The sequence below is a fragment of the Homo sapiens genome, chromosome 10 (genome assembly GCF_000001405.40).
Source record: "Homo sapiens chromosome 10, GRCh38.p14 Primary Assembly".
In the NCBI taxonomy this organism is placed as follows: domain Eukaryota; kingdom Metazoa; phylum Chordata; class Mammalia; order Primates; family Hominidae; genus Homo; species Homo sapiens.
This window is the reverse complement of record NC_000010.11, coordinates 79490140-79516523: the sequence shown is the minus strand read 5'-3', so window position 1 is coordinate 79516523 and position 26384 is coordinate 79490140. Positions and strand designations below refer to the sequence as shown.

The 26384-nt window shown below is 49.0% G+C and overlaps 1 protein-coding gene, 1 long non-coding RNA gene and 1 pseudogene across 3 annotated transcripts, besides 3 other annotated features; 2 read left to right on the top strand and 1 right to left on the bottom strand.

Annotated features, from left to right (window-relative positions):
• Nucleotides 1-83: 83 nt before the first annotated feature.
• Nucleotides 84-3991, bottom strand: EIF5AL1 (eukaryotic translation initiation factor 5A like 1). Its single transcript, NM_001099692.2, has one exon. It carries the CDS (start codon nt 3872-3874, stop codon nt 3410-3412), a length of 465 nt encoding a protein of 154 aa, NP_001093162.1. The 5' UTR covers nt 3875-3991; the 3' UTR covers nt 84-3409.
• A 1550-nt stretch (nt 3992-5541) lies between these two features.
• Nucleotides 5542-10154, top strand: LOC729815 (uncharacterized). Of its 2 annotated transcripts, none has more exons than NR_136624.1 (3): nt 5542-5717; nt 5934-5995; nt 8739-10154. It is a non-coding gene; the product is annotated as an uncharacterized LOC729815 (long non-coding RNA). The 2 variants fall into 2 exon arrangements; NR_136625.1 differs by lacking the exon at nt 5934-5995 and adding an exon at nt 5828-5865 and having other exon boundaries at nt 8473-8921.
• Nucleotides 16512-17436, top strand: TPRX1P1 (tetrapeptide repeat homeobox 1 pseudogene 1; annotated as a pseudogene).
• Nucleotides 18233-18433: a silencer, noted in NCBI's record as "fragment chr10:81257847-81258047 (GRCh37/hg19 assembly coordinates)". NCBI's record gives its function as "represses an EF-1alpha promoter that drives an FKBP-Casp9 reporter gene in an ReSE screen in phorbol 12-myristate 13-acetate-treated (for megakaryocytic differentiation) K562 erythroleukemia cells {active_cell/tissue: K562(+PMA)}" and the evidence as "EXISTENCE:reporter gene assay evidence [ECO:0000049][PMID:32094911]".
• Nucleotides 24944-25444: a transcriptional cis regulatory region, noted in NCBI's record as "chr10:81250836-81251336 region (GRCh37/hg19 assembly coordinates) targeted for CRISPR interference". NCBI's record gives its function as "positively regulates PPIF gene expression in BJAB lymphoma cells {active_cell/tissue: BJAB}" and the evidence as "EXISTENCE:mutant phenotype evidence [ECO:0000015][PMID:33828297]".
• Nucleotides 26009-26068: an enhancer, noted in NCBI's record as "active region_3647". NCBI's record gives its function as "activates an Ori minimal core promoter by ATAC-STARR-seq in GM12878 lymphoblastoid cells {active_cell/tissue: GM12878}" and the evidence as "EXISTENCE:reporter gene assay evidence [ECO:0000049][PMID:35858748]".

Genomic DNA, 26384 nt, shown 5'->3' with positions numbered 1-26384 from the left:
CATGACAGTAAAAGTTTGGGTGTCTAGGGGCTTAAACATCTTCTGAACAATGATCCAAGAAAAAAGTGCTAATACCACAATGCTTTTTTATCCTCAAGGGAAGGGGGAGTATGTTTTATTTTTACAACCTAGATAATTACACATCATTTGGCACTGCCCTTCAACATACGTAGAAAACAGAAAATATATAAGTTCTGAAGATATCTAGGCACATTGAACAGTCTCTACCCAACTTAGTCCTGAAGAGAGAATTTTTGATGTGAACTGGGGGAAGTTTTTTAATGTACCACTTTTTAAATATTCCATTAAGAAAAGTTCAGTTGAGCTGTTTGACTTGAACCACTTTGTACCTTCTCATCTTTCTCCTTGTTTTCTACTCCTCTATCCCATTATCTCACAAACCAGGACATCGTGATTGCCATGAAATGTTCATGCCTCATGGTTTTTCTTTGCTTCTCATTTCTTCATGTGTTTGACATTTCTCCTAGCTGCAAACTGGGCCAGCTGCTTTCCCCATAAAATCTAGCGGTAGCTGTAGGGCGCATGCGGTTGCTCTTTCATCTTTTTAGATCACCCATTGCTTCTATTGAAATCCTAGTACATGTTTTTTTGGGTTTTTTTTTCTATCGTATGTGAAGAAATCAGAAAAAAAACATTCTACACAGAACTTTAAAGATGTTATTTCATTGAATACATCAGGAATTTCAGAGGTATATGACGTACATCTGCAACAGGATTTGCATTGCATATTAGCCAAGAAGAGAACAAATATTTCATGTCTTAGAAGATTCAACTCATATGCAGTCTATATGGAATTCTTTGTGGGAATTCAGTCATTACTGAGAATGTTTTGTGTTAGGTTCCAACCAGCCTCAGTGAAGCTGGTGTCAGGGAAGGGAAAGTGGGCTCTGAGTAGAGCATGGATGGAAAAAAGATGCTCCACAGAAGATCAGGAAGGAGCAGGGGGTGAAATGTTACAAATTCTTGAACTCAGAGAACTGAAGGTAGTTGCTTTCCTTTCAACCTGTGAAACATTTTAACCTGCGGTAAAAAATGTATAACGTGATAATTACCATCTTAACCTTGTTGAAATGTACAGTTCAGTTGTGTGAAATATATTCACATCATTGTTCAATTATTGTTTTCTAGATGTCTTATCTCAAGTCTGTCTTACAGTCACAAAATGTCAATGACAGAACACGGATTTACAGGGGAAAGCCTGCAGGTCCAATAGCCATAGACAGGAAGGTATGCTATCTGTCAGAGTCCCCATAGTGTGGAAATGAGTTTGCCCTTTTAAGGGAAAGAACAGCTTCTGGCCCTCAGGTTTCTCCCCTTCTCCTCTCTACACCCTAACCAAGGGCTCAGGTCCACTTATATGCACACAAATAGAAGGATTTTATCCTTTGCAGGAATTAAAATGGACCTAAAATACTTCTTTACATCATGGAGATCTACAGAAGCTAAAGTGCAAGCCAAAGTCCAAAAGGTGATGATGAAGGTCAACAGTCATTGCGAAATCTCTGGGCAAAGAAAGACTGCCGAGGAAGAGTAAGATGTTCACTGACACAAACACTGTTGTATGAACCATGTGCCAACCAAAGTAGACAACTGCAATGTCCCCGAGAATATTTTCCACAATATTTGTGGCAAATTCAGTGGGTGCAAAACTGAGCTTGTCCTTCCTGCTTGATTAATCTTCGTGTTTCCTTTCCCTTCCTACATTCTTGATTGTAATGTTTTAGGGGCAAGCGGAGGTCCAGGTACTGGCATTGTTAAATTCAATGCTTGGGTCACCTCTGGATTCATTTTCACAGTCTTTTAGCTTTTGGTCATATGACATTGTATTTTTCCTGCCACATGACTAGTCTTTTTGGCTAAATGTAAGACACTCGTTAAAAATATTTAGCAATGAATTGAGGCCTACTAGCACGTTATCTTGCTGTAGAAAAGATGGGAGTCTATTTCTGGGGAATGGGCAGGGGTCCTAGCACACCTAGACACCCTCCATACCATCCGCAATTGAGGTTATCAGTGAGGTTCAGTCCCTACAAAAGTCAGGGTGTTTCCTGTCCACCTCTATTCCTGGCGTGTGACTCTTCTGGGTCCCAACCAAAGCCAGTGGACTTCAGTAGGGGTCACCTTCACTAGCAGACCCTCAGTCTACTTGTTTTCCATCTAGTCCTCCACATGGTGCAAAAGCTGCTCTGCTTCTTTGCATCTCAGTTAGTCCCTTCTGAAATTCAGTGAGGAAACTGAGGGAAATGAGCCCCAAATGTGAGGCTGACCCTCGTCCTGGGTTCCTTCTTCTCCATCTTGGCCTCATGTCTCTTTATTGCCATTTTAGCAATTTGGTGCTTTCAGTCATGGGTTTTAGATTCTGCCCCATGTCCCCATTGCTCTCATGGGAGATCAGAAGCTTCACACGCACTCATGTCTACTCCAGAGCAGAATGCTTCCTTAGCTTCCCTCCAGACTCAGGTTTTGTGTTTCTAGTTCCCAAGTTCACAGCAGGAGTAGTGATGTCCTCACTGGCTTCTCATTTGCGTTAAACTGTGAACTCCTTTAGGGTGGGGACAGGACCCTGCTCCCATTGCATCCTCTGCACCTCACAAGACACTCCTTGCTTCAGGCCACTCCAGACAGCGTGTGCTGAAGGGTGCCCTGGGTGGTCAGAAACAAGTGCATGAACTTTCTCTTTGAAGTGTTTTTGTCCCTGTTTCCTAGAGTTCTTGGCATTTTACACGTCTTTCTTTCTTTTTTTTTTTTTTTCATATTAAACTTGTAGTTTTATTCAGGTTTGATTTTAACAAATGTGTCGGGGAGAGAGCCCGCAGGGAAGGGTAAAGCCCATGGGGGCAGGCCCTTCCCAGATGCCTGAGGAGGGGGCAGGTCCCCTCCCCTCTCCTCTTCTTCCCTCCCCATCTAAAGGGGTTTGGGGAGAGACACAGGCAGGCGAGGGGGCTGGTCCCCAGTCTGTTGGGTGGTGCTCAGGGTAAAGGGCTATGGGCAACAGGGGACCAGACCAAGGATGAGTGGGGAGGGCACAAGGACCATTTGCCAGAATCCACCGCTTTCTGATTCCAGATTGAATTTAAAAAAAAAAAAAAGACTAAACCACAAGCAGCACCCACCCCCTTCTCCCCCACCAGGGCTGTAGTGTGAGGGGAGAAGAGGAGGGCAGCTTCACCAAGGCCATGGCTTCGCTCGCTCCTGGCCAAGGGAGCTAGGTGAAGGGCAGGGGCTCCCTGACAGATTGAGGGGGTGGGGAAAACCAAAATAAAACGTCAAATAAATTGTGTAGGAGGAGTCCAACCTAGGACCAGGCCAGAGCCAGGCCAGGCTGGGGGAGGGGGCCTCTGCAGGTTCGGAGGATCACTGCTGCCACCACTGCCACCTTGGGAGCCAGTTATTTTGCCATGGCCTTGATTGCAACAGCTGCCTCCTCTGTCATGGCAGACAGCACCGTGATCAGGATCTCTTCTCCACAGTCGTACTTCTGCTCAATCTCCTTGCCAAGGTCTCCCTCAGGGAGACGAAGGTCCTCTGGTACCTCCCCGCTGTCCTGGAGCAGTGATAGGTACCCATCCTGGATGCCAATCAGCTGGAAGTCATTCCTTTTGATGTTGGGGACATCCATATTATGAGTTGACGGGCAGATATCTTCATATTTCTTCCCAGTAAAGATGTCAATACCAACCAGATGGACCTTGGCGTGGCCGTGCTTGCCAGTCTTCGAAGCAGACATCTCCACGATCTTACATGGCCAGCCTTTGAGCACCACAAAGCCATTCTTACGTAATGCTGAGCACTGCATTGGGAAGGTGGCTGAGGCCCCTGCATCTCCTGTCTCGAAGTCCAAATCATCTGCCATTTTAAGAGGCTTCGATTCCAACTGGCGCAAACGGCACTGACTCGACCCCGTCCGCTCGCCGCGAGCCCAACCGCTGCCTCCGAGCCCGCCGCCGCCGCCGCCGCCGCCGCCTCTACCCAGGCATTTTACACGTCTTTCATATGAAATCAAGTATCAAGTGAGATTTTTAGAATCAGAACCATGAATCAAGTAGTGTGAGGCAACACAGCAAACCCACCTTTTTAGGCCATTTCCTTTTTTCTGCCCTCAGTCTGTGTGAAACAAACCTTGTTAAAGTCTCTGGACACCAGAGGATGGTTTGCAGTTGTCACCTATTTTCAGGACATAACACCCTGACTAAAGAGCCATTGGATCATTTCCAATTCAGTAGATGCACCCAGCACTCAGATTGGCCTTTTCTCTCAACCAGGATCTTTAAAGTCGATGAGAAGAGTTCCAGTCCTGAATCATGGACATGTGCAGTAGTGAACCGCAGGGCTAATGACAGCATGTCCTGGAAGGATCTCTCTGAGGCTGATTGTCTGGGTTCTGGCATCAGCCTCTGATGGAGAATCAGGTTTCCCTGTGGGAGGAGTCAGACGAGGAGTGATCCTCTGCTCCGTCCTTATGGGTTTAGTTGTGATGAGCTGGTGAGGTCTGGTTTTCTACACTGAACTAAAATGAGCTTTCGCTATGTCAGGCAAAAGACTGACCCCAGAAGCACACATAGCGCATCTCATAGAAGCTTTTAATAGTTCATATTTACTAAAGAGTAGGAATACAGAGCGATGAAGATGAGCTGGAAACGACAGGTGACTTGCCAGCAGGCCAGAATGTGCTTTTTCTTTGTCCCATGGAAGGTGTTAATTCTCCCTCCAGTTGTGAGGATCAGTTGGTTCATTTATGGGAAGGTTGTCAGGGGACCTTTGAATCACGGCCTTCAGATGCCGCAAGGAATCCCACACAGGCCAGTGGATCACGTGCATGCATTTCTCTCCCTTCTCGACTCAGGAAGCTGAGAATGAAAGAACGTGAACGAGAAGAAAAGGGGAGGCGGCTGTCAGAGGTGGAAGAAACCATGAAATTGGCTCTAGAAAAAATACCCATCTGCAAGTGGGTTCGGAAACCGACACCAGCCTCTTGGGGAAGCGCTGGTGGAGTGTTTTGTTTTAAATCTTTGTACAATGTTTAGACCCAGTTAACACAGAAATGGAAACAAATGGTCAGAAGCGATACCTAGAGAGAGAGACAATTCACACCAGAGAACACAAGTACCTTAAGATTTACTAGTGTTCAAAACATGTGAAGTAGCCAAACATCTCCTGACTGCAATGCCAGCCAGACTGTGTGGAAACTCGGTTCATACCAGCCGTTCTAGGGGTGATGCGAGTTGTCATCATCCTTAGGAAAGTGTGTTGTTGTAGGATCAACCCATCCTTCAAAAGGACTGTGCCTATTTATAAGCTCAGCTGTTTCTGCCCTGTGAAATATGGCAAGGATATTAATTCCAGGAGAATAGAGCTTTATGATAAAAGATGCCCAATGAAGCATGAATTAGGGACATACTGAAAATGGGTAAGGAAATTGTCAACTCAGAACCCAGCAGGCATTAAGTAAAAGAGGAGGAAGCATTACAGCAACAGTTTTGATCATACTGTACTTTTATAGCCATGTGAAATACATTTTCTATGTATAGATAGATTGTGTAAGGGTACAATTGTGAGGACAACAGGAACATGGCAGATTATTTAAAATCATACTAAAGATGATGCTGTGTCTGATGAAAGTGATTCTAAACCATAGAAAAACGATTCAAGACAGACAAGAGCTGCAGCAGTGGGTAGAGGACTCCTACAGATGAGAGGTAAGGAGCCTTCCTTCCTGCAGTTGCAGGATCCTTAAACGCTCATCAAGATGATGCCACTGCCCCTAGAATCTGTCAACATACATTTTCTCATGTGTTGGCTTTTTCAGATCGCCCCTTCTGCTGCAAGAAAGGCCTCAACAACTGGGTAAGTTTGTTCATTTTTCCCTTGCTTTTCGGCCAAGTCGGGACATGGATGTATTTTTCTCCCCACAGCTCTGTGCTCAAGCCTTGCAGAGGGAGATGGCAGAGAGGAAGGCTGCCTGCAAGCAGCACAGGTAGGTGATTGTGATGGACAAATTTTAAGGATGTTTTTGTTTTAAGATGAAGCTTTGACTGTCTAGTAAAGAAAACAGTGTTTTAATTCTTCTACAAGTCAACTCTTTCACTGTCTTCAAGACAGGAAATGATGGAAAAGCAGGGAGTGCTGGAGAGACACATGAGTCAGGAGGCAGCCCAGGGACAGCTAGGGCTAGAGAACCCTTTCTGGAGAGGTAGGAGCTCTCTGGGAAGGCACCCGCTTAACTTCTGCTCCACAATCCACACCCCTGCTTCTCCTTTCTGGGGTGAGGGCTTGGGTTGGGTTATTGTTATGTTTCCTGGAAACAGTTCCAAGCACTTACTAAAGAGAACAGTTATCCCGCTGGGTGGCAGGACCGTTTTTCTCACGTGCCACAGCTGAATGACTCTTGGCTGGTCCCCTGTGAATAGCGGAGCACAGGCCCCTCCACTGACTGTGGACATCATTCCACCCTGATGTCTTGGTTACTTTTAACTGAGGGGATGAGCCTAGAAGGCAAATGGGTCAGCTCCCCTTCCAACCTTGAGTCAGTGGGAAGGCTTTATTTTTTTTATTATTATTTGAGAAAAGTAACACTAGTAACATTTTAGAATGGGAGCCATAAGTGCTGATGAGAGCAGAAATTTTCTGGCTATGTCTTCATGGATCAATATTTCTTCTTTTCTTAAAGAATCAGAAGACATAGCCAGAAAACAGAGAAGACAAAGGTAAATGCTGGAGTCATTTTCCCTCTGCCTAGTTCAGGACAGTTTTGTCTTTTCCTACAGCGCCCTCTCCTGGCCTGTCCTCTGCTCTCTGGGTTCTGTGGTGCCTTTTCTAACTGGACTTTTTTGAAAGCAAAATCTTCCCCATGAGCTTTCAGGCTTCTCCATTTCCAGCTGGTCATCTTTGGTGGCACCTCCAGAAGCCATAAATGCTTAAGGGCCAAGGGCTGCAGGGCTGTCACTGTTCTGTTTCCAGAAATAACATGAGAGGATGCCATTGAACTCCACTGAGGTAGGTCTTATGGCCCAGTAGACCCTGACTGATCCCTTTTACTCAAGATGGTGTGGGATCCCCTTTCCAAAATATGTGGGGTTTCCTTTTTTTTTTTGCTGTGATTTTCTTTTCTGCTATAAGGTAAGTGATTAACCTTCAGAATATCCGCCGTAATCCCAGAAGTGAAAACTCATTGATCCAACATTAATATGTGCTTTGTGCAATTTTGAATGTTCTTTGGCAAAGTCAATTCCATAATTCATCACAGTCCCATCTCTGTTGTTAACTGTGTTGAGCAAAAACGCCCCCACCCTCACCCAGTGTTGCCCTTGATCTAATATTCTAAGTGTCAGAGGTTCCATATTTTAATAGAAAATGTGCCCTGGCTGTGAGGTAGTGGAGAGTGAACGTCACTCATTACCTACAGGGACAATTCTCAATGAAGGCCTTAAATGATGCTCAATTAAGCTGGTTCTCGTGTGGCCTCTGTGTCTTCGACAGCTGCTGAATCCTCTGATCACACACGATGGGACTTGTACACTTGAAATCAAACATATTTTTAAAACTTCTGTTGTTGAGAATTCCCACCTCATTTTTCCATGGACAAAATTATTCTTTATGTCATAGTGCACTTAAAATTTGGTATTACCTAGAAGTTAAAGAAATGTGATAACCATGCCAAACTGATATCTCTATGTAAGATTATTCCGTCAGAAAACCCTCTCCCAGTTCCCCTGCAGCTCTTCAGGAATCCCCATCTCCCCAGAGCTCTTTGTGCCCATGGATGGCGCTTCCAAAGTAGAGAAGACCGTTTGTCAAGAAGGGAAGCAGAAGGGGGACGAGAGGGTCTTGCAGGCAGAGCTGGAATCGACTTCCACTCTGCTTCTTGCAAGCTGTGTGATGCTAGGTGAAATTTCTCCTTCCTCTGGAGCCTCTATTTTCTTAGATTTGGAGCAGGGTGGTCACACTGACCTTGTAGATTTCTGAGAATCAGAGACAGCACATGAAAAGCCTGGAGGCCATTCTCTTAAGAGTAGCTGTGACTCATGTGTGGACAATGGGCTTTTCATGCTTCTGTTTCTCTCTGTTTATCTGATGCAAGGAACATGCTCCGGTGATGATGGTGAGGGAGGAATTAGGATAGACATAGACACCCCTGTGTCAGAAACATGCTTCTTTATTACTGGGTTATGACTCTGTCTTCCCAGGGACAGGCCCCCAGCCTGCGTACATTTGCAGACAGAGTGGCGTGTGGGGATAGCAGTTTGTCCCCACGACTTTTCTTCACTCCCCTGCTGTTGGCAGGACTCAGTTGAAGGGAGACTTTATGGCATTCATGCTGCCATTTTGAAACCTGGAGGAGGGAAAGGTGCAAGGGACTATCACCCGAGGCATAAGGTGCAGCTTGTGTTGGTTTTGGTGTTTTTGTCCATCATATTCATATATTTCAAAACATTTTCTCCTCCTGACTTGTAGGTCAATGTGGCTGCAGGGAAGCTCATCCTTTCTCAGAATGGCCCTACTTGCCCGATCTCATGGCTGGCCCTTCAGGACCATTGATGGGCTGCCAGCCGCCTCCTCTACCGGGTGTTGTCTGGGAACTCAAACACTCCCTCCATCTGAAGGTTTTCTGGGACCTCAACAAACTCCTCCACTGGAGTGTCCTCTGGGAACTCAAGCACCTCTTGCACTGGAGAGTCCCCTGAAAACTTAACCACCTCCTCCACTCGATTGTTCTCCAGGGCCTCATCCAGCTCCTGCAGCTGTCAGTCCTCTCAGACCTCATCCACCTGCAGCTGTCAGTCCTCTCAGACCTCATCAACCTGCAGCTGTCAGTCCTCTGGGACCTCATCCACCTCCTGCAACTGGCAGTCCTCCCGGATCTCATCTACCTGCAGCTGTCAGTCCTCCGGGACCTCATCCACCTCCTGCAGCTGTCAGTCCTCTGAGACCTCATCCACCTGCAGCTGTCAGTCCTCTGGGACCTCATCCACCTCCTGCAGCTGGCAGTTCTCCCGGACCTCATCTACCTGCCGCTGTCAGTCCTCCAGGACCTCATCCACCTCCTGCAGCTGTCAGTCCTCCAGGACCTCATCCACCTCCTGCAGCTGTCAGTCCTCCCGGACATCATCCACCTGCAGCTGTCAGACCTCCAGGACCTCATCCACCTCCTGTAGCTATCAGTCCTCCCGGACCTCATCTACCTGCAGCTGTCAGTCCTCCGGGACCTCATCCACCTCCTGCAACTGGCAGTCCTCCCGGACCTCATCTACCTGCAGCTGTCAGTCCTCCGGGACCTCATCCACCTCCTACAGCTGTCAGTCCTCCGGGACCTCATCCACCTGCAGCTGTCAGTCCTCTGGGACCTCATCCACCTCCTGCAGCTGTCAGTCCTCCGGGACCTCATCCACCTGCAGCTGTCAGTCCTCTGGGACCTCATCCACCTCCTGCAGCTGGCAGTCCTCCCGGACCTCATCTACCTGCAGCTGTCAGTCCTCCAGGACCTCATCCACCTCCTGCAGCTGTCAGTCCTCCGGGACCTCATCGACCTGCAGCTGTCAGTCCTCTGGGACCTCATCCACCTCCTGCAGCTGTCAGTCCTCCCGGACATCATCCACCTGCAGCTGTCAGTTCTCCAGGACCTCATCCACCTCCTGTAGCTGTCAGTCCTCCCGGACCTCATCTACCTGCAGCTGTCAGTCCTCTGGGACCTCATCCACCTCCTGCATCTGTTGGTCCTCTGGGACCTCATCCACTTCCTGCAGTGGTAGGTTCTCTGGGACCTCATCCACCTCCTGCAACTGTAGGTCTTCTGGGACCTCATCCACCTCCTGAAGCTGTTGGTCCTCTGGGGCCTTATCCACCTTCTGCAACTGTAGGTCTTCTGGGACCTCATCCACCTCCTGCAGCTGGTGGTCCTCTCGGACCTCATCCATCTCCTGCACCAGTAGGTCCTCTGGGATCTCATCCACCTCCTGCAGCTGTTGGTCCTCTGGGACCTCATCCACCTCCTGCAGCTCCTTGTCCTCCCGGACCTTATCCATCTTCTGCATGTTTCTGTCCTCCGGGACCTCATCCATCTTTTATAGCTGCCTTTCCTCTGGGACATCATTCACCTTTTTGTTCTGTGAGGCCTCTGGGACCTCCGACTACATCTCCACTTAGTAATCTCTGGATCCTCAGCCACCCCTTCTACCTGGGTGGCCTCTGGCCCCTCAACTACCACCTTCACATGAATCTCCTCAGCTACTTCAATAATCTCCACTTGTGGTCCCTGGGACTTCAGCCACCTCCTCCACCAGGGTCTCTTCTAGTACATCTGCCACCTCCTCCACTTGCCTGGCCTCTGCTATCTGAACCAACTCCTCTGGGACCTCAACCAGCTCCTCTACCCATTGTGGCCTGTAAGACCTCAACCACCAACTCCACATGTACCACTTGGTATGTTTATCTGAACAGTATGAACTAAGTTGCAAAATGGACTCATCTTTCCTTTTTTGAATGAATAGAAATGTCACAGATTGTACTGCAAGGCTTTGCAATATGAGGGTAGCACTGGCTGAGGATGTGGTCACTTTGCTCAAGTTTCTGAGACTACAAATCAGTTGCATTATTTTCTCATTATGACTTTGGCAGCAGGTATCTTCTGTAGATAAGGAAAGAGTTTTTTTTTTTATTTTATTTTGGTGGGGGACAGAGTCTCACTCTGTCACCCAGGCTGGGGTGCAGGGGTGCACTCCTGGCTCACTGCAACCTCCGCCTCTAGGGCCCAGGTGATCCTTCCACCTCAGCCTCCAGAGTGGCTGGGACTACAGGTGTGCAACACCATGCTTGGCTAATGTTTTTTTGTTTTACTTTTTGTAGAGACCATGTTTCACCATGTTGCTCAGGCTGGCCTCAAGCTCCTGGAGCCATGCCATCTGCCCACTTTGGCCTCCCAGAGTGCCAAGATTACAAGTGTGAGCCACTGTGCCCAGCCAGAGATTGTTTATAGAAGCTAGAAATACAAGCTTTGCAGGCTTGTGTGGAACCTGGGCCATATGGCCAGCTCTGTGAGGGATGAGACCCATCCCTGACTGGCAGGGCATCCTGTGTGCTGCAGCAGAGAGACCCACACTGAAGGGCACAGAGCTTCTGACCAGCCCAATGGAAACACAAGTGAAGGGACACAGGGTGCAGAAGGAGGAGACAGAATCTCCTGGGAGTAAACAGGAGGCCGTGGAAGAGAAAGCTGAAGCAGGGAGGTGTGACATGGGGGGTTGTTGAACTCAGGTAGAGCTGGAAGGCTGCTCCTAGCCAGGCAAGCAGCGTGAGCAGGAGCATGGAGGCTGCGGTGAGGGCCACACAGAGCTGCCATGGGAGCTCAGATACCACATTGTGCACAGGAAATTACCACCCCAGCACTTCCTTGTTGCCCTACAGCCTTTAGTCCATTATTGGTAGGAAGATGATTCTTTCCCTGGGTGCATGAAGGCTCTAGATCGGGGTGAATGAATGCCTAGAGGTCTGAAAATTTTAACTTGGTTCTGTCAGGGGAACCTGTCTCCCTGAGTTTTCACGGCCTAAGGAGACTAACAATGAGGATGGGTCTGGTTCAGTGGAGCTGCGGCCTTGGCCTTCAGAATGAGGCCAACTCTGGCTGGAAACTCAAGGCCAATCCTGAGCTGCTGTGACCTACTCTGATCTCCTGCACCCTCTCCTTCCCACCTACAACTCTCAGCTTTGCATCTCCCAACCTTGGCAGGCAAAATGCTTCCCCTTCCCTGTGTCTTTGCTGCCTAAGCCCAGACACCAACTCTCAGTAGAGCTCAGAGCCCCAGCTTTCTCAGAAATGAGCTGGGAATGATGCGATTATGAGGTCATGGTGAGGACAGGGAGACCAAGCTCATAAGGAAGGCATCTTGCAAAATAGCTGGTAGATGGTAGAGCCTCACCCCTCCCGCTGGTTAAATGAAAATATTTCCACTCAGAAGATCAGCAAAAGGTGTTCATTGAAGTTCATTTAATAAACCTTAGGGTGTAGCAGCTCAGGCTCTGGGATTTCCAGTTTCTCTTTCAAAAGATAAGGGAAAGCCCCTGTCTCCAAGATTAGAATTCAGATCCTTACGAGATGAAGAGATCCTAAAAATGCATACACAGTTAAACTCTGAGATTTGTATCTGTGATCTGTGGATAATTATTCTCCATGACATACAGACACAGATATGGCCACACACAGAAGTATTCAGCAGGGGCACAGATATTTCATAGAAGACAAAATGTATATTGGGCAAAAGAAGGTCACCTGGAAATAAACCGAAATCTTTTTACCTTACAGGATAATTTTGAAATTTGAAGAGTCTCCTGGGCCATGATATCTTGGAAAAGTCTCCACCATATTTGATGCTCCATGCCCCGTGCTCCCTCCTCTCTCTCTCATTTCCAGTGTTTCCCTTTAGAAACATTTGCAGTCCTATCTTTCTGGGTGTCTGCTTCCTGGAGGACCAGTTCACACCCCAGGGTATACCAGGTGTGACTCCTCGTACACTATTCAAACTCAGGCAGATACTGCCTTGCTGGACACAGAAGCAGGGTTACCCTTTGGGTAGTGTTGACTGGTAAGGGCCCGAGGGGGACTTCTGGGGTGGGGGAATATCCTGTATCCAGCCACGGGTGGAGGTTGTGCTCATTCATTCTAGAAAGAGTCACTGTGTTCCTAGTGACTGCCAGTGGTGCCTTGTGAGCAGATAGACAGTAATACATCCCCATGAGGTGGCCAACTTCTGACAGGGAATAGAAGGGCCCAGCAGCGGCTGTGGAGCCCTTAAGGAGCCTCGCAGAGACTCAGGGTTTGTCAGAGCCCATGCCCCACTGAGCCAGCTGCCCCCCGGTAGCACCAACTCCAGGCGGCTCTAAGGGAAGCTGAGCTGGGTGTAGACATTTCTCCATAAGTCCTGTGCCCCCCACCATCTTCCTGTAATTTTTAAATTGTGTGATAGGCAGAGATCGGTGGTGAGAGGCTAACTGAGCTGGACTGGAGAGGAGTGAAGAACGCAGGGGTGAGGTCAGTCAGAGGACGGGACAGGCAGAGAGAAGATGAGAGAGAAGGGATGAGAGAGGGAGGGGAAGGACAAAGAGAAGGAGAAAGACAGGGAGGATAGAGAGAGAGGGGTTGAAACAGTGAGAGAAAGAGAGAAGGGAGAGAGAGAGAAGGTGGAGGGTGAGGGGAGAGAGAGAGAGATGGAGATGGGAGGATGGAGTCATGGAGAGAAGTTGATTTGGGCCCAGGGGGAGAAAAGGAAAGCTGGAAGAGACAAAGACAGAAGGACCCACAGTGAGAACCAAGGGAGCTGGAGGGAGGGAGGTGTCCAGAGAGCTGGCCAGTGATCCACATACCGAGAGGAAGGCAGAGAGTAAAAGAGAAGAGAGGAATGAAGACAGAGGAAACAAGAGAGATGGAGAGGACTGAGACAGGGAGAGGAGGCTGGAGAGAATCACAGACAAACAGCACAATAGAGGAAGGGAAAGAGTTGTTGAAGACAGGGTCACAGAAAGAGAGAAAGGAAGGACAAAGAGGGAGGCAGAGAGAAGCAGAGAGAAGCAGAGAAAGAGAAAGCAGGGAACAAAGCAGTGAGCCGGCAGGAGGTGGAGGGGGGGCGGCACAGCAGTTGGGAGGAGTTCTTGCACTCCAAGCCGTGACCTCCTTGGGGCCTTGAAAGCCCATCACATGGGGACACGTAGGCCTCCCTTGTGGCTGGGTTGCTGTGTGGAGCCTCTGGGTCTGTCCCTGAAGCAGGGACTTCCAGGGGAAAGGGCTGCCCTGTCACAGGTTTGCCTCCTCTGTGGGGTGGGGACCCAGAGCAGCCTCCCTCGCTGTCCTGGTCCCTGCTGCATTTCCCATCCTGGCCAGCTAGGTGGCCGTCAAGTCCCATACCTGGGAACCAGGCTGAGACCCTTTGTCCAGCCTCATCTGTTCTCACCTGGCTCCAGATTCCAGCCACAGCTCTGGCAAACAGTCCATGCGTGCTGGCTGTCACCAGATCCACACACCCCGGGTGGATTCCTGCCCTGTTCCCACAGGACAGCCCTCAACCAATGGAGACAGGAACCTGGAGTTAAATGCTTCTCCCTTTTTCACTGAGAGAGAGACATGCACAGTCTGATGCACTTTCTTTCCTTCTTTCTTTTTCTTTCTTTTTTTTTCTTAAGACAGAGTCTCTCTCTGTCACCAAGGCTGGAGTGCAGGGGCACGATCTGGGCTCACTGCCACCTCCACCTCCCGGGTTCAAGCAATTCTCCCACCTCAGCCTCCCGAGTAGCTGGGATTACAGGCACTAGTTACCACGCCCAGCTAATTTTTGTATTTTTAGTAGAGATGCGGTTTCACCATATTGGTCAGGCTGGTCTCAGACTCCTGATCTCAGGTAATCTGCCTGCCTCAGCCTCCCAAGGTGCTGGAATTACAGGCATGAGCCACCACACCTGGCCGTGATGCACTTTCTAGATGCTGTCCTAGAGATCACACTGTGTTAAGCCTCAGTTGCCTTCAATGTGGTCATCTCTACAGTATACCCTTAGCTTTTTTCTCCTCCGTTACTTTCCCAGACCCTCACTCTGCTCCCTGGATTCACTTTTCGAAATAGTCCTCCTGCTGCAAAGTCCTGGGCACCTGCCCTACTTTCAGCATTGGAAGGGGGGCCCAGGCTAAGACCATGAGGCCCCACTGTGGGCGCCCACAGCCCCGTTCCTCCCTCTATTCCCACCACAGTCACATCCTCCTGTCCCTCAGTGCTTCCTCGCCTTTCCCTCCAGCCCACCGTGAGATCCCAGGGGACGGAGCAGCCCCTTCTCTGCCCCAGTGCAGGGCTTGGCCTTAGCACACGGTCAGTCTGTGCTGGGGTGAAGTGATGAATGAGTGAGTGGTTGAGTGATAATGCATCATCAGATCTGTCTTTTCCACATGTCTCTATCTCCACCCAGAACCAGTTTTCTCATCCACAAATGGGCATTTGAGGCTGGGTGCTCCTAAACCCTACAAAATTCAGAGCTGGCACAGTTGGGGACTGACCTTCCTTGATCTCACCTCACTTTCTGTATCTATAAAATGGGGTACCTTTCTCTAAGAGTAAAAAGGAGGCCTGGCATAGGGAAAGAAACTCAGCTCGAGCATCCAGAACATCCATCTTGCTCTCAAATACCTAATACAGGGGACCATGTTTTCTGCTATAATTGGTATTGGAGCTGGTACCATTTATTAAAGGTAATTCAGTTACAAAGCTTCAATTATTAAAACTGTGTAGTAAACGTGTATATATGGACAGACAAATAGAAGAGGAAGTCCAGATGTAGACAGAAATCCATACAGAAATAGAGAATGGGACAAAGGAAACATCTCAATGCAGGGTGTTCAGACACCTGGCCAATCATCTGAAAACTGAAAGAATAAAATACGCCGGGCGCGATGACTCATGCCTGTAATCCCAGAACTTTGGGAGGCCAAGGTGGGCAGATCACCTGAGGTCAGGAGTTTGAGACCAGCATGGCCAACAGGGTGAAACCCCATCTCTATTAAAAACACAAAAATTAAGCAGGGTGTGGTGGCGGGTGCCTGTAATCCCAGCTACTCGGGAGGCTGAGTCAGAAGAATCACTTGAACCCGGGAGGCATAGGTTGCAGTGAGCCAAGATCACGTCACTGCACTACATACAGCTTGGGTGACAAGAGTGAAACTCTGTCTTAAATAAATAAATAAATAAATAAAATTTAGTCCTTTTCTCAAAGTAGACAGTGATATAAATTCCAAATGCATTATGATTTAATACTTAAAGAAAAATCATGATGTCATGAGGATGTACATCTGTCAAGCCTCATCAACTTGTATCCTTTAAATAGATGCCTTTTGTTATATGTAAATTATATCTCATGAAAGTTGGTTAGAAAACATAAAAGTATTGGAAGAATATGTGAGAGAATTCCATTCTAACCTTGAAGTGGGTGGGGTGATTGGAGTCCCTCTAACCATGACTCAATATCTAAAAACCATAAAATAAATTCATTACTAAATCTGACTACACAAATTCAAAAAAATCTACATGGCATGAAGCACCATAAGAAAAATCAAAAGGCAATTCACACTGGACAAATATTTGTAACTCAGATCACAGGAAAAGGGCTGACTTCACAAATATCTGGAGTTCAAAAATGAGAAATAACCAAACAGTCCATTAGGAAAACATGCACGGAACAAGAACAGACTTTCCTGTTTTTTTTTTTTTTTTTTTTTTTTGAGACAGAGTCTCGCTCTGCTGCGCAGCCTGGAGTGCAATGGTGCAACCTCAGTTCACTGCAACCTCCACCTCGCAGGTTCAAGCAATTCTCCTCCCTCAGCCTCCCAAGTAGCTGGATTATGGACACCCACCACCACGCCCGACTAATTTTTGTATTTTTAGTAGAGATGGGGTTTCACCATGTTGGCCAGGCTGATCTCAAACTCCTGACCTCAGGTGATCCACTTGCCTCAGCTTCCCAAAGTGCTGAGATCCCAGGCATGAGAGAATCCCAGACCCGGGCCCCATCTTAAGCTCTGGTTGGATGCCAAGCCTAGGCTCACTCCCAGGCCCAGTCCCAGTTCTAGGCCCACGCCCAGGATCACTCCCAGCCCCAGCCCCAGGCCCCTTGTGGCCTCAGAGCCCCTATGCCTCCGACTTCTTGACAGACACTCAGTTATTCCCTCACTTCACGGAGGTGCTCCCACCTCTAGACGTCAGTCTTCACGATGATGTCTCAGTACAAAGAAGGGCAGGGCTCTATGGACAAAAAAGACTCAGGGTTTCAGTACCAAGAGGAGGATATCTCTGTGAATGAAAACTATTCAGACCCCAGGTAACCACTGGGTTGGTAAGGGGCCTGTGCCTGCAAAGTCCTACAGATCCCAGTGGGCCTGGAGTGGCTGGTCTACACCACTGATAACTTTCTGCAGCAAATGCACCGCCCTTCACCCACTCTGCTGCAGGTGGGCATTTGCTGTCTTCACTGTGCGGCCATCACAGGTGGCTCTGCTGTGAATGTACCTGCCTCTCATTTGAATTGAGCCTGAGCATTTCTTTGCTGGGATTGGAACCACTGTCCACTGGGATATTTGGCATTAGTGAATGCTGCTTGAGAGCTTTGTAAAGGGCTTTTCCCAGTGCTTCTGATGGTCAGCGTCTTTGCCAACATTTAGGATTGTGAGACTTTTTAACGTTTCTTGATCCAATGACTTGTGGCTTTGTTGTGGTTGTAATATCCATTTTCCTGATGGTTGAGAGGTTAAGAAATTCTCACATGTTAATTGAACCTTAGAAATTCTCTAATGTGTCTATTTGTTTATCCATTTTTTTTCATTTATTGGAATGTATTCTGCCTTGGCAATTAAAGTTCTGCAAATACCAAAACAAGCAAACAAACAAACAAAAAAAACAATTTTTCTCAAACTTTTCCCAAAAATTAAAGAGGAGGGAATTCTTCCCAACTCAGTCTATAAGGCCAGCATTACCCTGATACCCAAACAAGACAAGGACACACACACACACAAAAAAACACTACAGGCGGTATTCCTAATGAACATAGATGAAAACATTTTCAACAAAATACTACCAAGCTGAATCTAACAATGAATCAAAAAGATAATATGCCATGATCAAGTGGGATTTAGGGGTGGTTTCAGGATGAAACTGTTCCACCTCAGATCATTAGGCATTAGTAAGATTCTCATAAGGAGCCGGCAACCTAGATCCCTTGAATGCACAGTTCACAATAGGGTTCATGCTCCTATGAGAATCTAATGCTGTCACTGATCTGACAGGAGGTGGAGCTCAGGCAGTAATCAGAGGGATGGGGAGCGGCTGTAGACACAGATGAAGCTCCGCTCACTTGCCTGCTACTCACCTCCTGCTGTGCAGCCCCATTCCTAACAGGCCACAGACCAGTCCTCGGCCAGGGTGTGGGGACCCCTGCTGTAAAGGGTTCCTACCAAGATTAGAAGGGAAGAAGGAAAGGGGATCACCTGGAAGCCACATGGAGACGGGGCAAGACATGAGATGCCTAGAGAAAAAGATGACTCAGGAGGACACAATCACTGAGTCTTTGAAGGACTGTCACGTATGAAGTTCACAGCTGTGTATGAAGTTCACAGCTGTGTCCTATGAAGAGAAATTAGAGGAACACAGATTTTGACTGTAATTTATAATTAGACTAAGGCATTTAGTAATAGAATGAACTGCTTAAAGATGTACTGAGCTCTCCATCGCTGAAAGTATGCAAACAACAATTGGCTGGCTGTCTTCCAGGGAGGCTGCTCACATACATGACTCCTACATGAAGGATCATGTGAGTCCTGCATGAAGGATGTCAACGGTGACTCTAAGGTCCCTAAGTTGTTTGGTTTCTTTTGTTTCTTTGTTTTGAGACAGGGTCTTGCTCTGTTGCCCAGGCTGGAGTACAGTGGCGTGATCTTGATTCACTGCAGCCTTGATCCTCTGGGCTCAAGCAATCCTCCCATTTTAGCCTCCTGAGTAGCCGGGACTACAGGCACATGCCACCATGCCCAGCTAATTTCCTTCTTTTATTCTTTCTTTCTTTCTTTCTTTCTTTCTTTCTTTCTTTCTTTCTCTTTCTTTCTTTCTTTCTTTCTTTTCTTCTCTCTCTCTCTTTCTTTCTTTCTTTCTATCTTTCTTTTAAGACGGGTTTCATCATGTTGCCCAGGCTGGTCTTGAACAGCTGAGCTCAAGCAATCCCCTGCCTTTGCCTCTCAAAGTGCTAGGATTACAGGCGTGAGCCACCGCAGCCAGCCACCTGGCCCCAAAGGCAGCTTCATCCCTTCAGGTCCTCCACTCTCAGCCAATTCATTCAGCCACTGAGACAGTCATTTTGCATTTGTTGGAAGATGTTAAATTGCAACTGCATGCTCAGGCCAAGACTCTGGTGATGCACAGCACATCTAGAAGAAAAAAATAGTTGGAGAGGGCAGAATTCTGCAAAGAGAGAAGAGGAAAGGTTGATAATGACGAGTCAGAACATAGGCTCCAGGAGTCAGGACTATTCCATCTGAACCAGATGTGTGTACATAATTTCCCCTTGGGGGCTGCACTCATCAGGTTCTCTGCAGAAACAGAATCACTCCAGATGGCTCCCATGAAGACACTATAAAGCAATACTGACAGAGGTGGCAGGTTAAGGGACAATATGGGGAATGGAGAGGCTCCCAGAAACTAGCAACAGTGGGAAGACTTTAGCACCCCTAGGCTGAAGGGGTTAGGAGAGGAAATGTCCCCGACTTTTTAAGAGCTGGAGCCATGAAAGAGGAGTCACCCAAGTGAACAGCAACCCTGGAGATCATGCAGCTGCAAGACGCTGGGTGGAAACACCCCCAGCTTCTCTCCTCCCACCGTCCAGAGTTCCATGGTACCTCCCATTGGTTAACCAAAAACCAATGGCAAAGAGTCAGAGAGACTTAGCCTGCAGGAGTGAGCCTCCTGGGGCACAGGGCAGACAGAAAGGCAAAGAAAGAAGTATGAGGGTCCAGGGAGTGACAAATAGAGTGACCAGAGTAGGGGCTCCTTTCCTTGCCCCGTGACAGGGACTGTGGTTTGCCCCACAGTACCCTGCTGTTTTGATGCAGACACACAGTGGGCCATTTTGGACCATAAAGATGAGGTTCTGGTCCCCAAAGCCTCAGGGCTACTGCCCAGCTCCAGAATGCTGTCATTAAGACTGCTAGTTGAGAGGCACTCAAACTAGTAGTGGCTCAGAGCTGTCAACCTGTACCTACCAGAGGTATAATTTTGATAATTGCAGAGTGTCCATCTTTAAGGAGGCTTAAAGAGCTCACTGCATGGTTTTACATTGGCCAGAAGAGAGCTGGTCCTCTTCTTGAATAGGACTCCCAGCCCTGAGATTGTCCAGAGCAGCTCTAACCTTGCTCAGGGACGTTCTCATCCAGTATAGATTTCCTTCTAGTGCCCTCTGCAAAATGCTGGTGTTAGCCCTGAGCAGGGCAGGGTAGTGCTGGATGATTCTGCAGCTCTCTGCCTCTCTTTGAGGCAGCCTTTTTGTCTTGCATTGCTGTTCTCCCCCTCACTGGTTGCATCTTCTTATCCCTGGACAGTTCATGGTGAGGGCAGTTGCTGGTAAGAATCACTTCCTGCTGGACCCCAAGACGATAAGAGCTAGCCCACTGTACAGCAGCATCTTACTTCCTGTGTGACTCCATTAAGCCCTCCCCTGGAGGCAGTAGGGTCCCCGCTCGATCACTTCACATCCCATGGAGCATGGGATTCCCTGACCCAAAGGAAGTCGGGGAAGAAGACAACAGAGAAGACATGCCCCCATTCCTGTCTCCACCTTCCAAGTTGCCTGCCTGGCTCACACAACAAGGCATATACAATTTATAGATAAATCTATTTTACGTTGGTATTTTTTTAGGTTACAAAGCAATTTCACATAGAATTTTACTCAACTGGAGAAGTTTCAGAAAAGCGGTTTTTCATTCCCATTTTGCAGATGAAGAAACTGAGGTTTCGAGGTGGTAAAGTAACTTACCCAGTGGCATACAACTGGCAACCAGTTGGGCTAGCACTGAAACCTAGTTTCTAAGATTTATTTCAGAGGGTCTTTCTCTTTTCCTAGAGAAGCTCCATATAGTTAAGGAAAAATCTCTTTTTCCTAGTGGACTTTTTTTTTTTTTTTTTGAGACGGCGTCTCGCTCTGTCCCCAGGCTGGAGTGCAGTGGCACGACCTCGGCTCACCACAAGCTCCGCCTCCCGGGTTCACACCATTCTCCTGCTTCAGCCTCCCGAGTAGCTGGGACTACAGGTGCCCGCCACACAGACCCCTTTTAGGCCACACAGCCTCCCTGAACTCCAGGAGAACAGCCCATAGGGGAGAAAGACACCTCCCAACATGACGCAGAATAGCTACACCCGTAACTCTGTGTCTTCCTGACCCTGGAAAAAGTGAAAACTAGTGTGCGACGCCAGCACTCTAAAAACGTCAATCCTCTGGTAGGGGGACGTCTGGTGTTCGCCTCAGCTGTTGCCCTCTCAGGAACACCTGTCCAGATCTCCCTCTTCCAAACTGCGCTGCTGCCGCTTCCCCTCTGCCCCCACTGCACTCCTGACCCCCCTTACTGCAGTGCCTTTTCTCTTTGTCTTTAAATAGCACTTATCACCTTCTAACATTCTGTACAATTTCCTTCCTGTATAAATTTCATATTTGTTTCCCCTCACTAGAATAGAAGCTCCAGGAGGGCAGAGACTTTTATTTCTCCATGTGCCTAGAATAGTATATGACATTCAGGAGTGCAAAAAACGTGTGCAAGGAAGGGAGTGAGGAGGGGACCCTAACATTGACATTCCACAAGAGCCTAGGCCTGTGATCCAGATGTGTGGACCCTCGACCTCTCACTCATGACCTAGAGGTGGCTAAGGCCGGGGAGCAGCCTCTGGTAGCTGAGGATGGGAGGCCCAGTCAATGGCTCACCGCCCAGCCTGTTGGGAAGGCGCAGCCATGGGTGGGAGGGAGCAGGGGGAAATATTGTGTTCATTTTACGGAGACAGAGCTACTGGCCAGGGATGGACTTAACTAAGCCTGAGTCTGGCGAGACAAGGGCAGATTAATGCTGATCAGGTACAGTCCTTTCCCTGGGGCTGGGGTGGGGCTAGGAGCAAGGGTTTTGTTCAAGTGTGTTACTGGCCAAAGGGGCTTGAAGCCAGGCCCAGAGGTGGGTGAGGCAAATATCCCTTTGGGACAGAGCAAATCTCCCTCCAGGAAAAGAAGACAGCTGGACCTTGCCTGTCTGGGCCATGATGAGCCAAAAGAGTTAGTGTGTTTGACTTTACAACCTACCAACCCTTTCACAGGTATGGTCTCATTTGGGCCCTCCAGCCACCTATCAGGGAATAAATGTGTTTATAGGTGAGGAGAGGAAGGCACGAGGGCAGAAGATGCTTGCAGGAGGAGCAGGTGGTGGCTGGAACTCATGGCTCCAGATCCCTTGCTGACTCTATCACCTATCTAATGGGAGGAGCTGACACTCGTACACTTCCCCGGCTGTGGACTGAGCCCACTAGGGAGGTAGGGTGGTCCCTCCAAGCTTACACCATGCCCTGTGCTGGAAGGCAGAGTAAACCCACACTGAACAACTAAATTTCCAGGTTTCATCCCCGACTCAGCTGCAGTTTGGGAAGCCACTGCTGCTCCCTGGGACTCAGTTTCCCCACCTGGAAAAGCCAAGCCCTGTCCAGTTGATGAAGCTCAGGTAGGCTTCAGTGAGACTTGAGCACAACTAGGCTTTGTGCCTTGTTGGACTCCAGTCACTAGCCAGGAGTTTCCAGAAGCTTCTGTGGGAGATCATCCTCACCCCATCCCTCTCCCTCCACCTTCCTGTTCTCTTCCCATCCTCTTCTCCCACTGTCCTTGTCCATGAGATCTGAATAAAAGCAAAGCAACTTGTAAGTGCTCTCCACTTCCCTGTCCAGCAGCTGCTCCAGTGAGCACCATGGCAGCCACAGAAGCTGCCAGGAGAGGACACTTTATGGGAAGAGGACTCTGGATGGGGCTGTGCCTCCTCCCAAGGGGTGAGTGGTGATAGCAGGACTTACTCCAGGCTTTCAATGACTTTCACTTCAAAAAGGAGCCCACGATGGAACAGCCCAAATGTCCATCAGTGGATGAATGGACAAACAAGATGTGGTCTGTCCATACAATGACATGTTATTCAGCCATAAAAAGGAATGAAGTACTGACCTGGGCTACAAGGAGGAACCTTGAAAATGCGACGCTACGTGTAAGAAGCCGGACTCAAGAAGTCATGTAGTGTGTGATTCCATGTGTATGAAACACCTAGAACAGGTAAATCCATAGAGATAGAAAACAGATTGAGCAATGGCCAGGGGCTGTGGGGACAGGAGAATGGGGAGTGACTGCTTAATGCCTCTGCGGTTTCCTTTTCAGGTGGTGAAAAACGTTTTGGAACTAAATAGAGGTTGCACAGAGGTTGACAGCAGTGTCAATATACTAAATGCCACTCATCAAATGGCTAATTATTTGTAATGTGATCTCAATTTTTAAAAATGGGGCTAATGCAGTAGGCGCAGGGTACCTGCACCGCCCACCTCCCCAGCCTTGGCCACCTCTAGCTTCCCACTGCAGGGCCCACCAAACACCCTCCTCTGCTATCCTCCTTCAATTCCAGGCCAGCCTTGACCTGGCAGAGGGTTTTTAAACCACCTGATGCTGAGCCACTGCCCCTGGGGTTCCACAAATCTTAACACAATTGTCCCCATTTATTAAGCACCTATTGTATACTATGCCCTTGCTGAGGCAGTCCTACACCTCTGTCAGGCAGGCACATTCTCAAGCTCGACATGGGAGAGAGATGGCTCTCATTTCATGGGCTGATGGTGAGGACATGGTGTCCAGCCTGTCTCAGTAAGCACCCAGTGTGAGACAGCTGCTCCAGTCACTGTGAGATTATTGCAGTCTTTGTTTCACACGTGTCCAGGCTCTGGGCTCAAGTGACCTGTTCAAGCTCAGCCAGCTGGTGTGAAAGGTCCATTGGGCCTGTGACAATTGCAGGCCGAAACATGGAGTTTTGACACAGAGGAAAGGGAAATGGGCAGTTGTTTGAGGGTTGGGGCTCCTGGGACATGATGAAGAGGCCTGCAGAGCCCTGAGCCTGTGGCCTCAGAGAAGAGCAGGCCTGAGTAGGACAAGGACAGAACACAGGAGCTTCAGAACAGAGGGACAGACAGAAGGTAGAGGTAGTAGGAGCTGGAGGGGCAGGGAAGGCTGCACAGGACCCTCGGGAAACAAAGGGGTTTTTCTCACCTATAAAATGAGGCGATGACACCATCCCTGGAAGCAGATCTGGTAACCAGTCCCAAACCATAAGCAAGCAGCCTCAGGCCAGATGTAGCCAGCACTAGAAGCCATTCTGCTTCCTGGGCAGGGTCTTGAGCTGTCTCCAGCCCAGACAGAGTCCTCCAGGGCTCTAGAACTTCATCTGGTCATTTGTCCAGTAGTCTCAGCTGACAGATGAGGAAACTGAGGTCTGGAGCGGGTTTAAGGGACTTGCCCATGGTGTCATTGCAGAGTGCGGCTGGGGCCTGGGTCACACACTCCTTCACTGCACCACGCTGGAAACCTAGATTGATAAGAGACAACAGGGAGCCCAGGACCCGGTGGTGTGAGACTGAGGTCCCGGAAGGCCGCATGTCCCCAGTCTCTCTCCCTAGACTTCTCCCCTGTCCTGGAATCTCACCATTAGAGAAGGACTTGCTGGGAGTAAGGGGCCACCTACTACTCCATGTTTGGGGTTAGTTTATCATCCCAAGGTTGGGACTGTGTAGAGTCAGTCTTTCCCCTGAAGGTATCTTTGGGCCGGCTGCTCAGGCCTGTCATCCCAGCACTGTGGGAGGCCGAGGTGGGCATGATGCTTGGGCTCAGGAGTTCAAGACCATCCTGGGAAACATGTTGAAACCCCAACTCCACAAAAAATACAAAAATTAGCCAGCCATGTTGGTACCCACCTGTAGTCCCAGCTACTCAGGAGGCTGAAATGGGTGGATTGCTTAAGCCCAGTAGTTTGAGGCTGCAGTGACCTGAGATCACACCACTGCATTCCAGCCTGGGTGACAGACAGAGACCTTGTCTCAAAAAAAAAGTATCTTAGGAGACACCTAGTAGAATTCCCCATACAGTCCCTCAGTAAACCTGCAAGGGCAGATTTTCCCCCCAGCTTGGCTTGGATCCCTGTTTCTTTGGTGGACACCAGAAGGAGTAGCTGGCTTGTGTTTCAGGATCATGTATGATCATGCAGCACCATCTGTTCCCCCAGGGTCACTCCCAGCACCTAAATGAACTTGTACTGTGAGGGAGACTGGAGGCCCAGCGGGAGCAGATTCATGCCTCACCCTGGGGACCCATCACCAAGAGGAACTAGCATGGGGGTCTCCTGCACCAGCCAAGTCATTCTCTCCTCACTGTCACTCTGGACCAAGCGTGTTCTGTGGAAGTGGCCTGAGTCCCTGGTCATGGGCCGCTTGTATCTGGGGCAGGGGGTGAATCACTCACTCCCTGCATGCTCCTGGGCAGGTGTGTGGCAGGTCTTTTCCAGGCCACATGGTGGCGTGAAGAAAGAGCATGGGCTCAGAATCATCACAACTGGGTTTAAATCCTGGCTTTACCATTTCCTCTTTCTGTGAACCAGTCAAATTTCCCACCCTGTCTGGCTCTTGTTTCCTTATTTGTCAAAAAAAACCCAGCAAGATAGTTAAGGATATAACCAAACAAGCTTTTCATGTAACAAGCATTACACGTGTAACACACACACACACTCTCTCTCTCGCCTTTCCCTGGGGTGGGTGTGGAGATGTTGATAGGGACATGGAAAGGAGAGTCAGAGGTTGTTGCTCTGGGAGGCAGTTGGAAGGGACATTTAGGGACCTGGGGGAAGGAGGAGGCTGGGAAGGCTTGTGGGTGGGCGTACTACCAAACTAGGAGGCTCCACCCCAAGGCAGGTCCCGCCCCACCACACTGGGTAGAAGGTGTCCCAGGAAGCCTGCCCAGCCAGAGAACCAAGGGGTGGACAAAAAGGCAAACATCAAAGCTGGGCCAGAGGTTTTTGGCCAAATGAAGAGCAGCAGGAATATGTCTGGAGTTGAAAGGCCCAAGAAACCCCAGGTGTCTGAGCTCCCCAGGCTTCAGAGAGACCAGGGTTGAGTGGCTGGAGACTTCTGGATTCTGTCCAGACCCCTGGCTAGCCCTGCCTGGCTGTCTCTTTGACTCATGTATGGGGAAGAAAGGAGGGAACAGAGGGAGGAGAGGGGAAGCCACGCAGCTGTTCCTGAGTTGGGGGCCTCGGAAATTCGAGCTGAGCCACACGCTGCCGGCAGGCAGGAGAGGACCTCTTGAAAGCCACTTCTAAGGCCCTGGCCTGGCCTCGCCAGCAGCCCCAGGATTAGCTCTGCAGACTTCTCTGAGTCCTGGACATCTGCAGCCTGGAATCCCCCTCCCTCTCTCGCAGCCCCATGGGGCAGCCCCTGTGACAAGGGAAGGGAGAACAGACAGCTGTGACCTGGAAGGGGGGCTAGAAGGGCCTCTGGCTGGCCTAAAACTCAGAGATTGGGACAGAGCAATGGTGCAGGAGCCGACTGGGGCCTCATTCCAGAAATGCCTTCCCCTTTCTCCATCTTGTGAGCCTGAAAGAGATGGGGGTGAGGGAAAAATAAAAGGCAATAACATCTGCACAGGCCCACCAGGCACCAGGGAGGTGCTGGGTGCTGTACCTGATGCTTACCGCCATCTCAAAGTTGGTCTTATTACTTCTAGCCTTCATTTGAGAAGACAGGCTCAGAGAGGTTAGGTAAATT